Source organism: Homo sapiens, chromosome 2, assembly GCF_000001405.40.
Source record: "Homo sapiens chromosome 2, GRCh38.p14 Primary Assembly".
NCBI lineage: Eukaryota > Metazoa > Chordata > Mammalia > Primates > Hominidae > Homo > Homo sapiens.
In genome coordinates, this window is record NC_000002.12 from 158,463,007 (window position 1) to 158,481,958 (window position 18,952).

Sequence of the window (18,952 nt, forward strand, 5' to 3'; positions counted from 1 at the left end):
CTTTCTGTGTGGGTTTTGTCAAAATGATTATGGATTTCAACAGGATATTTCAGAGAAGAAATAAACTGCTGAACAGAAACCATTGTGAGCTTGATAGTTTGCAGGACATTGTAGAAAAGAGAATCCAGCACAGTAATTAAGGGCCTTTTTAAGTAGGGAAGTTGTAGCTTCTTGCGGTAGGCAATACTTAGAGAGGCATTAACCACCGCTAGCCAACAAGTATAGGAGAATGTATACAATTATTGCGTTTGTAATCCCAGGTAGTAGTCATTTTATAAAATGTCTTTGCTAGTCAGTACATGAATAAAGCGTTAGAAAGTGTTCATCATTTAACACCATTTGCCCAAATGCAGCTTGTAAATTAACTCTTTAAGCTGGCTTTTCTGTCTGAAAGTGATCACAGTTGAAAAAAAAAAAAAAAAGGATATTTGAAATCAGCAGGAGACTCCCAAATCAAGAAAGGCTAGAAAAGAGGAAGGGGGTTTGGAATATACATGATATAAATCAACAGACAGTGGTTAAATAGATATCAAGAGGCTCTAGTTCTAGTCCTGGCTTTGCCACTATGCAGGTGTGTGTCCCATGAGCACATCATGTAACTCTCGTGGGCTTTAGTTTTCTTGTCTATAAAATGAGGGAGTTGGTCTAGATGCTCTCTAGAGTCCCTCTAGTACTTACATTTCGCAACTCTTAGAACATCAAGCCATTACATTTTTTCCTCAGCAAGAATATGCTGTCTTCCCAAGGATTTATGACAATTTACCCTCTGGGATAAGGAGGGAAAATTGAAGTTGTATACTTGAAATTCTCAGCTCCTGAAAATATGTGTCGCAGCCAGACAAACCTGTGACCCCTCTGTGGCTGAGTCAGTGGCTCCGTGTCTTGTGCGGTAGTGGTGAAGTGCTCCAGGAGTGAGGATCCCTGGGGCCCCTCGGGGCAGGAGCTGAGCAGTGAGCCTTTATGGAGCTGCACATCTGCAGTTTGTCACAGCCCTGACTTCTGGGACTTACTTGTCTACAACCAGTCCCCTGTGCACATTGGAGGCTTCACCTCTGATTGAGACTACATTTTTCAGAAGTTGGATAGAAACAAGAAAGGGGATTTAGCATGGTGGTTAGAAGGGACTAGTCTTGTTACAGTGAGAAAGATCCACTTCTTACTTGCTCAGATGGTTTGATTTGTCCTCAGAGAAGTTAAACAACTGACAGAGTTGCTCCTCTGAAAACATTTTGTATGAATACTTTAGGTTCATAGGGAACTCGTCAATCCATATCTCATAGAATAGAGGGACTTTTCATTCAAGTCTAATTTTTACATATAGACAATCTACCAGTGTTCAGAAATTGTGGCAGATTTCATGAGGAGAATTTTTTACTTGGATTTGTGCTCTTCTATAAAAAGTAATTTAAAAATTCAGTGATGAAAGTTTCTCCTAGACCCTGTTCTCTTCCTTTGTGGAGAAAAAAAATCCGTATAGAACTCTAGTATGTATTTATCTATAAAACAATTGTTTAAAAATATTGAGGTTAGCTCTTCCCCTTTGCTAATGCAATAAGCACATTATTTGCAAAGGGAAGCATTAATTATACTACTATTGTATGCAGTATTAAATGAATTGTCAATGTCACGATCAAAATAAACCCTTGAAGAACTGGCTGTTGTTCCCATACCTTCATGAGAATTGTAAACACTCATGTAAAATAGAAACCATTATTTACCACTTTGCAGTGAAATGGATCATGTGTTCTGACACCTGTACCCTGAGTTGAGTGGGAAACAGGGACTGTTTGATGAATTAAAGGTAACTTTATTCCTGTATACCACTAGGGGTGCAAGTGAGGGGACTGTAGACAATTAGTACTTTAGATATTTGTTGGAGTCCTGCTGTGTGTGCAGTATTGTGTTTCATTTTGCATACTTATTTAAAACGATACTACTTATTTGAAATGATTCATTTTAGTTCATTTTAACCAACATTTTTTAGTCCCCTACTCCATATCAGACTGATAGGCCTTATGGCCAAAAAGATGACTTCCTCCAGGGATACTTACTGTCTGTGTTAGATTCAGTAATGGGAGTCTCGGTCTTTAAGGAATCCATGATACATTTTTCAGTCTGGTTGGGAAAGATAAGACACATGAGGTAGAGAAGATTGTCCTAGAAATGTTGGTATATAAATAAGCATGTAACATTGTTTCATAAGTATTAAGGATGAGCTATAAAATAACTAGGTTGTAGCTCATACTTCTACTTGCTTAATTGTGTATTACATGATAAATTACCCGATTCTAGAGATATGCACTAACCACTCTCATTAGCTTTCTTTGGGAAAAGTCTGCACCAAAGATAAATAGTGATTTCAAAATAAGTTTTAATCATGAACTTGATTATTTTGGCTGTATCTCTTGAAACACTTTACCATATAGCCTATGTGAAATAATTAATCATAATGACAATACATGATTTATGAGAAACCATAATTTATGCTGTAAGACCTGCCATTTTATTACATTCTTATTTTTATTTTTCATGCAGCAGTATTTTCGTTTATTGTGTTTTGTGCTTTTCTTTTATTCTCTATGTAATTTGTGTGCCTTTATAAGCCCAAACTTGCTGTTGAAAATATTCCCTCCCATTGTTATGAATAAACAGAATGTTTCAAAATCTCTCGTGATGTATGCTAGAATAAATGGTCTCATTGAATCTTACTTTGAATCTCAGAATGATGCACTGATGGGAATTTTTCACTTACTGTCATTTTGTCGACAACTACATAAGCAGTAAGTCTGTTTAAAAAAGGCACTGACTAAGGAATCACAAAATCCAACTGGACTTCACAAGAACTATTAATACTATTAGTCTGAGACCTGTGATAAACAACTCAGATGTTAAAGGTCTAATTCAGACTGTCAACAGATGAAAAATAAGTGTCAGTCTGAAATCTTCGGATAGTATATCGGCAAGTGTCAGTCTTCCAAAATATTATTTAGAACTGTGAATATAATTTTTCACAGAAGCAACATTAATCCATAAATCTCCCGTCCTGTAGTGTAACTATAGTATATCAGTTCCATGGGAAAATAGTCCTGCTCTAAGCTACTCAACAGCAGGGACTTTATCTTTCTACAGGACTTAAATCTTGACCTCCAGTGGTTCTACATACCTTAAGTGAATGAATGAGTTTGAATTCTAGTTTTGAACACCTTCACCTGCTACTCTTGGATAATCGTGTCTGTTTGTGCCTAGTACCTATCCTCTGTCCTTTTGTAAACTGGTCTGAGACCCTGATACCATTTATCCTGCATGTTTCAAAGGAAAAAACTATTTAGACTTTAAAAAAATGCTTTTCTAATACAACTTGCTAGATAAATAATTCATTATACCAAATTCCTTAGTAAAGAAATTAACGGCTGGGTGCAGTGGCTCACACCTGTAATCCCAGCACTTTGGGAGGCTGAGGCAGGTGGATCACTTGAGATTAGGAGTTCAAGACCAGCCTGGACAACATGGTGAAACCCCATCTCTACTAAAAATACAAAAAAAAAAAAATTAGCCAGGCGTGGTGGCGGGCGCCTGTAGTCCCAGCTACTTGGGAGGCTGAGGTGAGAGAATCACGTGAACCCGTGAGGCAGAGGTTGCAGTGGGCAGAGATTGCACCACTGCACTCCAGCCTGGGTGACAGAGCGAAACTCCATTTCAAAAAGAAATTAATTAGAAGATTTTAAACAGATTGGTTCATATTCATTTTAAACTTAATTGCCTGGATTATAACCATAGTGAGATGAGTTTTCATAATGCTCTTTATCATACTACTAATAGGCACCAATCAAGCACCAAGACTAAGCTAAGCTTTGAAAGTGTGATATTGAGCAAACTTTCTGTATCTGTACCTTTTGTGAATCAGTAATATCTTTGTATACTCAGTTGAAGAGTTAAGACAGAAGTAGATATAATTTAAAGCACATGAAGTTTTTCAAAGGGGAAATGTTACAAAAATGCTAAGGGTTATTGGTACTATAAAATTACATAAATGTTAAGAGTAATGAAACAAAATTTCATAGCTTGTTTTGACCTAGTTGGTATAGTAAGTAAACCTTTGTTTGGTCTTAATATAGTAGATAGAAATATTCTTATACATTTTGGTTGTCCCTTTCCCAACCTCACATAATCACTGTAATAAAATTTACAGAAGGAAAGATCCTGTGTACCCTTTATATTGTTTTCCCCAGTGGTAACATCTTGAAAACTATATTACAATGTCACAACCAGGATATTAACATTGATGTAATCAAGATACACAACATTTCCATCACCACAACGCTCATCTCTCCTACTCTCATCGCCTCCTAAATCTCTGGCAACCATTCATTTTTCATTACAACTATAGTTTTGTCATTTTAAGAATGCTAGTGGCCTACACCTGTAGTTACAGCTACTGAGGAAGCTGAGGTGGGAGGATGACTTGAGCCTGGGAGGGCAAGACTGCAGTGAGCCATGATCTCACCACTGCACTCTATCCTGGGTGAGAGAGTGAGACCTTGTCAAAAAAAAAAAAAAATGTGGGCACGGTGGCTCGCTCCTGTAATCTAAGCACTGTCAGAGGCTAAGATATGAAGATTACTTGAGGCCAAGAGTTCAAGACCAGCCTGAGCAACATAGCCAGACGCTGTCTCTAAAAAAAATTTTAAAAATTAGCTGCGTGCGATGGCATGTGCCTGTAGTCTCAGGTAATTGGGAAGCTGAGGTAGAAGGATTGCTTGAGCCCAGGAGGTTGAGGCTACAGTGAGTTATGATAGTGCCACTGCACTCCAACCTGGGCAATAGAGTGAAACTCTATCTCCAAAAATAAAAAAATAAAAAAAGAATATTATATAAATAGATTTATAAAGTATGTGATTTGGGATATTTTTTCCCATTTTGCATAATTCTTTGGAGATTATTCCAGGTTGCTGCGTGTATCGATAGTCTGTTCTGTTTTATAGCCAAGTAATATTCCATAATATGGATGTACCATAGTTTGCTTAACCATTCACCTGTTGTTTCCAACTTATAGCTATTACAAATAGAGTTGCTATGAATATGTATGTACAGTTTAGCATAAGTATACTTTTCTCTGGGGGAAATGCCCAGGAATACAATTGCTGCATTGAATCATAATTTTTAAAACTTTCTTTCTACATTATGCACTGAATTATCTGAGACCTCAGTAATCCAGCCATCTTTATCAATGTGTTGGTGAATTAAAATAAAGAATTTTGTAAGGTAGATTTATAGCTTTGGTAAATTACAAAAACTTGTCTATAAAATCAAGTCTTTTATCTTTTGTTACTGTTTTACAAATAGTACTTCCCATAAGTTTACCTTATTTTTTAGGAAAACCCCATTGATTTTAAGTAGAATTCATGAAGTTGCTTTGTAGCTTGGCTTCAGGATTTGTTTGGTTTTGTTATATTTTTTTCTTTAGATAGCAGGCACATTTAATTTTCTATAACAATATTATATTTTAAAATGTAATCATGAATGTTGGCTCTTTCAGAATTTCACTTATATATGATCATAGGTAATATTCTTGCAAAAAAATGTTGATAGTGCACCATGTTAACAGGCAAGGTGAGGATGTAAGATGAAGACAGTATTTTCCTATGTGATTGGAATTAATCCAGTCGTTAGGTTGAAGCCAGTAAGCATACCTGATACTTTAAAAGGTGAGGATTGTTTCATTCCTAGAAGAAAAGAAATTAGACATTTTCTTTTCTTCTTCTTCTTTTTTTTTTTTTTTTTTTGAGACAGGGTCTCACTCTGTCACCCAGGCTGGAGTGCAGTGGCGGTACTATTATAACTCACTGCAGCCTCAAATTCCTGAGCTCAAGGGACCCACTCGCATCAGCCTCCTGAGTACCTGGGACTACAGGCACATGCTACCATGCCCGACTAATTTTTTTGTTTTTGTTTTTTGTAGGGGCGATCTGGCCATGTTGCCTAGACTGGTCTCGAACTCCTGGCCACAAGCAATCCTCCTGCCTCAGCATCCCAAAGTGCTGGGATTACAGGCATGAACCACCATACCTAGCCAGAAAATACTTTTTTGTTGTTTTTTTTTTGAGATGGAGTCTTGCTCTATTGCCCAGGCTGGAGGGCAGTGGGGTGATCTCAGCTCACTGCAACCTCTGCCTCCTGGGTTCAAGCTATTCTCCTGTCTCAGCCCCCCGAGTAGCTGGGATTACAGGTGCACACCACCATGCCCAGCTAATTTTTGTGTTTTTAGTAGAGATGAGGTTTTGCCATGTTGGTCAGGCTGGTCTCGAACTCCTGACCTCAGGTGATCTGCCTGCTTTGGCCTCCCAAAGTGCTGAGATTACAGGCGTGAACCACCACACCCGGCCAGAAAAGACATTTTCTAAAGTGATTTTCTTATCCCCTCCTTCCCACCGTGCTTTTTGTGTGACTGTTGTACATACCTCTGCCAGAGAAATATGTTGAAATTGCATCTGGCTAAATGAAGTCTTCGTGATTGATACTTTGGTTAGTTTTTATTAATGTCTTTTCTACCTTGAAGGTCAAATCTTTATTTTCATAGTTTAAAATACCATCAGATTACTTAACAAGCTTTATACTTTGTTCAGTATTACTTTTATGTTCATTCTAATATTTTTATTATCAATACTTCAGTCTTCCAGAATCCTAGCTGAGAAGGTAAGTGTTGACTGTACAATCAGTCCTAAAATATAGCTATACAGTAACATTCATTTTTAATATGGTGCTTTTAAGGATTTGATCCATTTTCTGTATTTGAATGATATAACCTCAGCACTATTTACTTTCACAGAAATATGATCCTCCCAATAAGTTGTGTATTTCCTGAAGGTTTTTCTGTGATTACCTGTTATGTCCTTCTCTGCCTGGTGAGCCCTTGTTTTTCTTCTTCAGGGTCTAACTCAATGACCCCTCTTTAATGAAGCCTTCCCTGGCCCTTCGCTCTGCCCAACTCCAGATTTCAACCTTCCCACCTGTGCTTGTCATCACTTTGCACATAACTCTGCTTTGAACACTTGTCACATTGTGAATAGTTTCTGTGTCTGTTTCCTGGCTATTTGAGCTCTCAGCAGGTTAGAACTGTGTCATAGCCATCACTGTAATTCTCTCATGTAGCAGTATTCCTAACATATAGTAAGCAACGATGCTTTCTTTGAGTGAATGAATACTTAAATACTTTGTTTACAACCTTAGTTATCCCCTTCTCTTCTAACCTTCAGTGGCTCTCCATTGTTTACCCTGCTGGATCATATTCACATTCCCCAGCGACCTACCATATAAGGCCCGTTACAGTCAAACCTTAATTACTCTCCTTCCTGAACCCTCCACATCAGCAAGTCTAGTTTCTACTCATTGTTCTCTGTCTCCCTCCACTCTAGGTTCACATCTTCAAAGTCCTTCAAGACCTAGTTCAAATAGATACTGTAATAGTATCTAACTTTTTTGTGGTAGAAAGAAAGAAAGCGCAGAGATCCTACTCTGATGACAACAAGAACAAAAAACACAACACAATCTAATTCATTATTTTCTTCAACCCATCAGAGAGTTGAAATATCATAAACAACTAACCTGAAATCTAAGGAAGGAAAGGCATCTCCAAGGTTGGACTTGCTTACCTGGGACAGATGATGCTGGACACTAGTAAGAAGAACTGAGTTAAAAATGTTTAGCAAATTGCTAAGTGTTGAATGTGGGCAGGCAAGAGAATACAGAACCCCACAAGGCATCAGTCAGGTGGTGAATTCATACCCCTTGAGGGCTCTTCTACATGGACCTCCCCTGATGCTAATTTTAAAAAGATTGGCCAGAGTCCTGAGAAGGCCTCCCACTGAGTGCGGGGCTGGGGAGGGGAGCAGCAACCCGAGGATGGAAAGGCAGAAAACCCCAGTCTTCCTTAGGGCACTGGTGAAAACCATTGAGAATGAAAATTTCTGAGAGTATTGTTAAGCCATCCCAATTTAAAAACAGCATGCTTGCTACAAACACAGCTTCAATGCCCCTTCACCCCAGCCACCAAACTAGCTCCTCAGCAAACACTCTGCACCCACCATGAGCAGAGGAATCTCTCAGAGCCTTGGAGGTGAAGGAGAGAGAATGATGGCCCAAAACAAGGTTTTGGTTGAAAAAGTTTTAAGATAGAGTGGACTTAAGCGTGGTAATGGATGGAGTGAGGAAAGCCAAAGAATAGAATTAAAAGAAATCAGGGAGTAAGGAGGATAGGTTGTAAATCACATAGCATGAATTTTCTTCCAGAATGTTTCATCAGTGTAGATGCTTAGGCGTGCAAGTTTAATTTTTGTTTAAAATGGGGGAAAAACCCTACATGAATAGATTCCTGGATTAAATTTAGTATCAGATTTAATTTTTACAGTCAAGAACAATTAGATTGTCTGCTCGTATTTTCTGGATCATGAGATCTATTCACACTGAAATGTCTAACATTTTGCTCATTGTCAAAAAAAGCCTTCAAGTGCTGACATGAAGAATTGTGCTTTATTTCAAATTGTGCACATCACTGCAGTAGCAGAGGCTCATCACACATGAGAGAAGACATACTGGAAGTAAGATTCATCTCTTCTAGTTGATTTGACATAAGCAGTATCATCCAACTAAATATCAGTGAATGCCTGTTTTAATATTTCTCCAATCTTATTCATAGTTACAAAATCAGGACAATTTATTTCTTCTATTAAATGCCGTTTATTGAACTAAGCATTATTTCAAAGAAAAAAGAACTAGTCATTGAAAAGTAATTCCTTTTTTAGATACCTCATTAAACTTAACAATGGCATTTAAACACTTCTGATTATTGAAAAATTAAACATGCCTAAATTATTTGGTCTCATTCTACTCATAGCCAAAATTTAAATATAGCTTATCAAGTGGTTTCTGAAAGGTATAGAGTAAAAATGCATTCTTCCTCAGCTCTTTTTCTGTACCAAAAAGCGCTATCTAGGAAGCTTAGCACAGAACTGAAAGTGAATCAATAGGAAGATGTTGGTTAAAGAATATATAATTAGTTAGATTGAAAGAATGAGATCAAGGAATCTATTGCACAGCATGGTGAATATCGTTAATGATAATATATTTTTGAAATATGCTGAGAGTGGATGTTAGGGGTTCTCACCACAAAAATGACAGCTATGTTAAGTAATGCATTTGTTAATAAGCTGGATTTAACATTCCACATGTATGTATACTTCAACATCGTGCTGTACACAATAAATACATACAATTTTATCTTTTAGTTTCTAAAAAATTTAAAATGAATTTTAAAAAGTAGAATTAGGCCGGGCGTGGTGGCTCACGCCTGTAATCCCAACACTTTGGGAGGCCGAGGCGGGCAGATCATGAGGTCAGGAGATCGAGACCATCCTGGCTAACACGGTGAAACCCTGTCTCTACTAAAAAAATACAAAAAAAATTGGCCTAGGGCAGTGGCAGGCGCCTATAATCCCAGCTACTCGGGAGGCTGAGGCAGGAGAATGGTGGGAACCTGGGAGGTGGAGCTTGCAGTGAGCAGAGATCAAGCCACTGCACTCCAGCCTGGGACACAGAGCGAGGCTCCATCTCAAAAAAAAAAAAAAAAAAAAAGAATTAAAAACTATCTTCAGGCTGACCATATCAGTTTTTATGTCTTTTCAACCAAATTGGGTCAGATAGAGAAAAGGAAAAGATCTGCATACTCATTGCAACCTATGCTTTTCCTGTGAAGAAGCCAGTCATCTAATTTTTTAAAAGCAGTGAAAAAAAGGCTACAGACTATAGCATAGATTTATGTTAAATGTTACAAGCATGAAATGTTAAAATATATCCATTTACAACAGAGTAATGGGACAACGTACAGAATGGGAGAAAATATTTGCAAACTATGAATCTGACAAAGGTCTAATATCCAGCATCTATAAGGAACTTAAATTTACAAGAGAAAAACAACCCTATTTAAAAGTGGGCAAAGGACATGAACAGACACTTTTCAAAAAAGGACATCCATGTGGTCAACAAGCACGTAAAAAAAAGCTCAGTATCACTGATCATTAGACAAATGCAAATCAAAACCACAATGAGATACCATTTCACACCAGTCAGAATGACTGTTAGTAAAAAGTCAGTAAATAACAGATGCTGGTGAGGTTGCAGAAAAAAGAGAACACTTATATACGGTTGGTGAGAGTGTATGTTAGTTCAACCATTGTGGAAAGCAGTATGGTGATTCCTCAAAGAGCTGAAAGCAGAACTACCATTCGACCCAGCAATCCCACTACTGGGTATATACCCAGAGGAATATAAATCATTCTGCTATAAAGACACATGCACACAGATGTTCATTGCAGCACTATTCATAGTAACAAAGACATGGAATCAACCTAAATGCCCATCAGTGGCAGATTGGATAAAGAAAATGTGGTACATATACACCGTGCAATACTATGCAGCCATAAAAATAACAAGATCCGGTCTTTTGCAAGAACATGGATGGAGCTGGAGGCTATTATCCTCAGGAAACTAACTCAGGAACAGAAACCAAATACCATATATTCTCACTTATAAGTGGGAGCTAAATGATGAGAAGTCACAGACACAAAGAAGGAAACAACCCTTGGGTCTACTTGAGGGTAGAGGGTGGGAGGAGAGAGGGGGCGGAAAAGGTAACTCTGGGGTATTGGACTTAATTCCTGGGTGATGAAATAATATGTACAACATACCCCAGCGATATAAGTTTACCTACATAACCTTCACATGTACCCCTGAACCTAAAAGTTTAAAATACATATATATCCATTTAAAGCAATTCAGATTGTATCTTAGCTTATTTTTTGCTTTGAAGCTAGCTTATGAAATTTTAAAATCAGGTAAAATTTGTGTGGCTTGCAAGGTCAGCATTAAAAAACCTAAGGAAAGGGGAGGACTCTGATTTTTCACTGGTTATGAAGCAAGGTGATACTAAATGAATTATATTTATTATATGCATTACAGAATAAAATTTCTGTGTTTACTGGGTATTTTTTCATTTTAATTCCCAAAGTAAAACTACAACTCAAAGATGACCAGAACAATTGTTTTACTTCTTTCATCCTCATAGTCATTAACAAGTTTTAACAGAAGCTACTCGACGACAGATATTCTGCGTTTTACACGTTTGCTGCCCCTAGAGGTCTGAGCAAAGACAGAGGGAAGCTCCGAAAGTACAAGACTCTGGCTGACTTGAAGCTGCCACATAGGTGAAAACAATCGTGTCTTTCTGTAATCAGTAATGACATTTTGGGATCCCTGAGGCTCACTTGCTGTTAACGATATCACTTCTAAGACATTATAATACCAAAGCTATTAGAACCAAAAGATCTAGGCTGTGTTGATTACTGAACCCCTGCCCACTCCTAGCATTGGGCCTCAGAAATCAGTTATTGATGAGAATTCACAGAATTACATCGGAAGTGTCAAAGTTAAGCCCAATAAAAAATTTTTTAAAAAACCATGAGATTTTAAGTGAAGGCAAGAATAATTTGACAACTGCTTGTGCATAAAATGTTTTCCGTAATTCATTTTGGAAATGAAAATTTACTGCCTGTTTCCCATTTGCAATGGTTTTTCACCAGTGCCCTAAGGAAGACGGGTTTTTTGCCTTTCCCTCAGCAGTGTAAGGCTGTTCCATAGTAGAGATAGGAGAGGAGGATCCAGGCAGGATTTCTTGCCTCTCCCACACTAGCTGCTGCTCCCCTCCCCAGCCCCGCACTCAGTGGGAGGCCTTCTCAGGACTCTGGCCAATCTTTTTAAAATTAGCATCAGGGGAGGTCCATGTAGAAGAGCCCTCAAGAGGTATGAATTCACCACCTGACTGATGCCTTGTGGGGTTCTGTATTCTCTTGCCTGCCCACATTCAACATTTAGCAATTTGCTAAACATTTTTAACTCAGTTCTTTTTACTAGTGTCCAGCATCATCTGTCCCAGGTAAGCAAGTCCAACCTTGGAGATGCCTTTCCTTCCTTAGATTTCAGGCTAGTTAGTTATACTGAGATATCAGCTCTCTGATGGGTTAAAGAAAATCATGAATTAGCGATTGTGTTGTGTTTTTTGTTCTTGTTGTCACCAGGGTAAGATCTCTGCTCTTTCTACTAGAAGAAAAGTTAGATACTTTTATAGCTGTCTTAAGGAAGTTCACCTTTCCATTTGAAACGCCAAGGACCCCTGGTGCCACTTTTTAAATCTTTTTATTAGAGTTTTATTATTTTTTGATAACATATCTATATGCTGTTTCCTCACTAGATTGTGGACTTTAAAAGTCATGAAACTGATTCATTCTTTTTTTTTGTCTTCAGCACCCAGCACAGTACCTGGCATAGAGTAGGTGCCCAGTGTTTTAGACACAGAGGTTTGCATTTTAATCTCAGTAAGGGCATTTTTACTTTCTTATTGTTCTCAGTAGGTAGGAACAACCTGGCAGCAGATTCTGTCTGTGCTCTGTCCACATCCTGTGGCACTTGAAATGACCTGACAACTTTCTACTGCAATATTCTAGAATTTTTAGCCAGAAGACTTCTCTGCCACCTACCTGTGTTGGGGCAGGTAAGAAGTGCCAGTGGGTTATCCCTGCAGGAGCAACCCTCAGTCAGTAGCTCAGCATCTTCACCCCTTAGTTGGGATATCTTTGAGGTGTGTTCTTTGTAGTCTGGCAGAAGTGCCCAGTGGAAGTAAGACCCATTTGTTCACTGTGAAAACTGACTCAGTGCACCCCTTATGGACTTCCCTGCCCTATCTCCCATATCCACCTACCAGATAAACTACATGCACTGAAGTTCTTGTCTTGGGGTCTGATTCTGGAAGAATCACAACCCAATACAGACTGTTATGATTCACATAAATTTTCAGATATTTAGAATAGTTTTCTCTAATAGGGACAGTCCACAAAATCAAGGAGCCTTTTGAGGGCAATTATAGCTTTCATCAGATTTTCAAATAGTTCTTGTCTCTCCCTTCCTCTCATAGAATTCGTTTTCATTGCAATAAAGACAAAGAAACATCCTTATCTTTTTAACTTAGAATATTAAAGCAGCTATTTTCCTTTCAGAGGACCAGTACACTGAATCTTTTTAGATGCAATCAGGAAATCATTGGGGTGTGTTGTAGGTACACATGCGATTGTATCTTAGTAACTGAATTTCAAAAATAGGATTTTACTTTTATATTCATGTTATTGGTTTTCATCCACATGTACAGCGAAAAATGTGCTGGGATGTCATATGATTCCTTTCCTGCACTTTTGAATTGGGGGCTCATCCTCTGATGATTTTTAAGTTTTATTTTATTTTTTTAGAGACCAGTCTCACTCTTGCCCAGCCCGGAGTGCAGTGGTGTGAGTATAGCTCACTGCAACCTTGACCTCCTGGGTTCAAGTGATCATCTCGTCTCAGCCTCCCAAGTAGCTGGGACTACAGGCATACACCACCCTGCCTGGCTAATTTTTTATTTTTTTCTAGAGACAGAATTTCGCTGTGTTGCCAAGGTTAGTCTTGAACTTCTGACCTCAAGTGATCCTCCCACCTCTGCCTCCCAAAGTGTTGAGATTATAGGTGTGAGCCACTGTACTCAGCCCCTGAAGATTTTATTTGAAATAAAATAGTCTCAGATTAGAGACCTGCTGTTTCAAGTTTAGGCGATCTCACTTTTAAAATAGTTTTTTTTTTTTCTGATTGTAAATGAAATCCATGCATTTGCAGAAAACTCTTTGAATACAGAGCAGCACAAAAGAAGAAAGTAAAACCCGAGTATAGTTTAGCTGCATTCACAGGTGACCACTGATGTCATTTTGTTTTATATGCTTCCAGGAGGTTTTTATTTTCTAAGCCTCTGCATGTACATATCTAAAAGAATTGGAATTAATAATCATCATATTCTTACTCTATTAAATGCTCTTCTAACACAAATATTTAAAACATTTACAAAGAATTATATTCTTTGTTCTGTGAACACCTGTATAATAGAATTCTTTGTAAATGTTAATTCATCCCTTAAAATTGGACAATTTTTTTTTTGCTTTTATAAATAATGAAATTCCACTTCTAGTTTATGACTGCCTTGAAGTTAAGCCACAGATATGACCACATTTATTTGAAGATGACACTGAGGTTAGTGCTTGTAGAATCGCAAGCTTTTAGACCAAGGAAAGATGTTAGAGATCACCATATGCAGTTCTTTCCTTTTACAGGGGAAGAGCTTGAGATCTGGAGACATGGTCCCTGAGGGTCAACATGCATACCTGTATCAGAAGGCCTGGGCTAGGTACCTTGTTTCCCATCAGCTTATCTAGCCGGAAATATCAGACTTTGCTTCTCCTCTCCCCTACTAATTGAAAAAACAGGAAATGATCTAGCCAACTCAGCTGGAGGTGTGCTTTTGACAAATAAGAAATTAGAAGGAAACCATGCCAAAATGAATGAACTACTTAACTGAAGCAAAAGTATCAGCTCCTGTACCGTTGAGTTAGTAATTATGGCCTGATACCTCAGGAAGTCAAGCATCAGGGGATAGACCCCGTAAAGAAGAAAGAAGTATCAGTCTTAAAGTAAGGTTTCCTGAAATTCTGCTGTCATATTGATCAACTGGGATTAGGCTGAAGTCCAATTTCCTGGCAACAATATCCTGGTTTAAAAAATGGTTAAATTGGGGCATGATGGCACATGCCTGTAATCAACGCTACTTGGGAGGCTGAGGCAGGAATATTACTTGAACTCAGGAGATCGAGGCTGCAGTACACTGTGATCCTACCTGTGAATAGCTACTGCACTGCAGCCTGAGTAACATAGCAAGACACTCATCTCTCAAAAAAAACCAAAAGTCCAAAGCCTCATGCTAACTGAGCTATAGACCAGCTTCTGAGGTATGCCAATAAATAAATTGATGACTGTACTAATGTTTCATATATATAACTGATAAGCCAGGGACAAGGTTTATTCCCTCAGTTCTTATGTTCTAAGAGAAATTTCTAGTTCTGGCTAAAAAATGTTTTCAGTGTCCTAAAATAGACTGGCAAAGGTTAGAGATCTTAAATTTGCAGTTTTGTTTTGAAAGGGTGTGGTTTGAAGCTTAATGTTAACCTCATGTTAGCTATAAGATGTAAGGCTGTTGAATAGGAGCTTATAGCTTTATCCCAGATTTTAAAGACATTATTATTTAGATTTTTTTTTTGATTAGGGAAGCATTCAGAAAAATTACTTCTGAACCTTAAAAGTAATTGTATTAAGTTGTATGTTTTGTTTCTCCCATTCAGTGAGTTAGAATGTTGTAAAATGGGGTTTTCACAAGCAGATGACGTGCTGTGGTTTTGATTTTCATAGTAAATCCTTTAGACTATGCCGATAGTAGTGTTTTTTACATTCTTGTGTTTAAAGACATTAACATGTTTTAGAAGAGTCGTACTAAGTGCTGTCCTAATCAAGATAAATGGAATCATCAGCAAGCCTGTAGTCTGCCCACCGCTCTCTGCCTTGGCAATAGCTCATCGTTTTTTGTTAAGTAGTTTTCTAAATATTTGGATAGATCGCCTAAGTTATCAGTGATGGCTTAAACCTTAATTCATTGTGATAAAGCACAAGCAAAATGTGAATTATCCACATAGTATTTTGGTAACTGTTAAAAAACATAATTTGAACTTTTATTGTAAATGAAACTGATGAACACTAATGATAATTAAACTTTTTGCTTAGGGTTTGTATGGCACATTTTAAATATGGGACAGTACAGAGAATAATGTATGGAGTGCCCATGAAACTATTATTCATATTTTTAAAATCTTGTTTGCCAAGTTTGCTTAAGGATTCTGAAGTTGGTGTTTATCCTCTTCATTATGTTTTTATTTTTACTACATATCTGTATCTCCATAAACATGGGCTTTTAGATGTGGAAAATCTTTGTTACAGTTATGATTTCCTGTCACATTTTCCCCAGTATTGGAATTAGTAAATCCCACCCACTAAGTACTTCCATGGAGAGACTTGTTTCTATTCCTTTCTAGGCTAGGCTGCCAAGCCAGCATTCTCGAGGAGGTTTCTATTCTTTTTATTTTTCCATTAGTAGGAGTTACCTAAGTAGTATTGTTTTTTAAACCTTTTTAATTCTCAAACAATTTAGATATTAAACATTAGCTAACTTTTAAATTCAGCATTTAATTTTTAAATTTATTTTATTATTATTATTTATTTTTTGTCTTTTTTTGATACAGGGTCTCCCTCAGGTTGGAGTGCAGTGGCACAATCTTGGCCCACTGCAGCCTCCACCTCCCGGGATTAAGCGATGCTTCCACCTAAGCCTCTCGAGTAGCTGGAACAACAGGCATATGCCACCATGCCCGGTTAATTTTTGTATGTTTTGTAGAGACGGGGTTTTGCCATGTTGCCCAGGCTGGTCTTGAAATCCTGGACTCAAGCGATCGGCCCGCCTTAGCCTCCCAAAGTGCTGGGATTACAGGCGTGAACCACTGCCCAGCCCAGTTTTTAAAATTAATTTTTTATTTTGTAATTTAACATTTTTTAATTTTATTTTTCCTTAATATAGTCTTATTAAGCTTCTATAGGCAGACTGTCACTTTTGTACTTAAAATGAGAATCATGGTGATGTCTTTATCAATTTGGAAAGGAGTTCAACTAATAGCAACTGTATTAAGGAAAAAAAAGCTTTATATTCTGTCATTGATGGCAGGTGAATAAAAAGCATTAATAACTCTTGATTTATTCTTTAGTCTCTGGTTTACTGTATGACCCAGACAAGCAATCCTTTTTCCAAGTCATGACATGGAAATGTGTATCTAAAGCATTTATGATTCCTCTGTTTACTTGACTTAATATTGAAATCTAGGGCTTGCCCATAAACTGGTTCCACAGTTTTGCTTCTGCCCTAGCTACAACCGGGGCTGCTCATGTGGCTTAAATGTTTGTATCCTTCGTCAGCTGAGGAGGATATCAGAAAGGGGAGATTCATCTTCTTAGACGTTGATTCTGAACTGCTACTGCTTTACAAAGAGCACCAAATTGCAGATCTGTCCCATATCCCTAGGTCAGGAGTACACGCCTGTGTTTTTCTACCCATAAGTCAGTGCCAACTCACAGGTTTTAAAGATTTCTGTTAAATAGTTCCTTTTGTCTTAATTTTAAGTATCTAGCAACTCAAAATTTGCCTCCTATATGGAATTTATTTATTTAGTTATTTTTATTTTATTTTATTGAGACAGAGTCTTACCTTGTAGCCCAGGCTGGAGTGCAATAGTGCGATCTCGGCTCACTGCAACCTCTGCCTCCTGGGTTCAAGTGATTCTCCTGCCATAGCCTCCCAAGTAGCTGGGATTACAGGCACCCACCACCACGCCCAGCTAATTTTTGTATTTTTAGTAGAGACAAGGTTTCACCATGTTCGCCAGGCTGGTCTTAAACTACTGACCTCAAGTGATTCACCTACCTTGGCCTCCCAAAGTAGCTGGATTACAGGTGTGAGCCACCGCGCCTGGCCTCTGGGATTCTTTTTTTTTTTTCCAGTTGTTTCTACTTACAGAAAAATGATTTATTAAAATGGCCAGCATTTCTTTAAGAGGAATAAAAACCACACCCGAGATATTTAATGAAAAATTATATAAATAAGAAATTAATAGAATTTTAAAACTAAGAATTGAAGTGCATATTACAATTGAGATGTATTCTCATACCATAAATTCACTCCTATAAAGGATACAGTTCAGTGATTTTTAGTACATTCACAAAGTTGGACAATCACCATCCCTATCTAATTCCAGAACATTTTTATCACACCAAAAATAAACCCCATACTCATTAAGCAGTCATTTACCATTTCTCTCTCCCCTCAGCACCTGGGAACCACTAATCTTTCTGTCTTTATGGATTCGCCTCTTCTGGACATTTCATGATTTCATGTAAATAGAATCATGTAGTACATGTCCTTTTGTGTCTCACTTTTTTTACTTAGCATGTTTTCAAGATTCATCTATGTTGTAGCATAAATCAGTGTTTCTTTTTAAATTAATTTCTTTTTAAAAGTGATATTATACTTTTTGTTTTTAAATATTGAAATGAGGTCTCACTATGTTGCCTAGTCTGGTCTCGAACTCCTGAGCTCAAGCAATCCTCCCACCTCAGCCTTCCAAAGTGCTGTGATTACAGGTGTGAGCCACCACACCTGGCCTCATTTCTTTTTATGTGTGAATAATATTCCATCACATGGTTATACCACATTTGTTTATCCATTCATCAGCTATGGGCATTTGGATTGTTTCCATGTTTTTGGCTGTTATGAATCATGATACTATAAACATTTGTGTACATTTTTGTGTGAACATATGTTTTTAGTTCTTCTAGGTATATACCTAGGAGAGGAGTTGCTGGGTCATATGGAAGCTCTATGTTTAACTTTTTGAGAAACTCCCAAACTGTTTCCAAAGCAGCTGCACAGTTTTTACTTTCCCACTAGCAGAGTATGAGGGTTCCACTCCTCCACATTCTCACCAACGCATGTTATTGTCTGTCTTCAATTATAGCTTTCCTAGTGGGTGTTAAGTGATACCTCATAGTAGTTTTGATTTACATTTCCCTAATGACTAGATACATTTGAGTATCTTTTCATGTGCTTCTTGACCATTTGTATGTCTTCTTTGGAGAAATATTTATTTAAATCCTTTGCCCTTTTTAAAATTGACGTATTTCAAGTGCTATTATAAGTACTATGATTACTTTTAGGGAGAGAATTTTGTAGAATTGACTGATAATATATAAGTAAAATGTACGTGGAGAGTTGACTGCCACATAAGACATAAAAATAAGCAAAACTGGTTTATACAGGTGAACAGTATTCACCTACTTGTATTATTGAAATGGTGCCAAATTATTTTATAACTTTAGTGTCTGATTTTAAAAACTGTTG

At 37.6% G+C, this 18,952-nt stretch overlaps 1 protein-coding gene across 14 annotated transcripts in view; it reads left to right on the top strand.

Moving 5' to 3' along the window:
- PKP4 (plakophilin 4) overlaps nt 1-18,952 on the top strand; it is a 224,478-nt gene that overhangs the window by 6,055 nt on the left and 199,471 nt on the right. The window contains exon 2 of one of the 14 annotated variants that reach the window (NM_001377221.1): nt 14,238-14,909. The exons of the other annotated variants lie outside the window; for them this stretch is intronic. The gene's annotated coding sequence lies outside the window, so the exon portion shown is untranslated. The remainder of the gene's footprint in view (nt 1-14,237; nt 14,910-18,952) is intronic. 14 annotated transcript variants of the gene reach the window in all.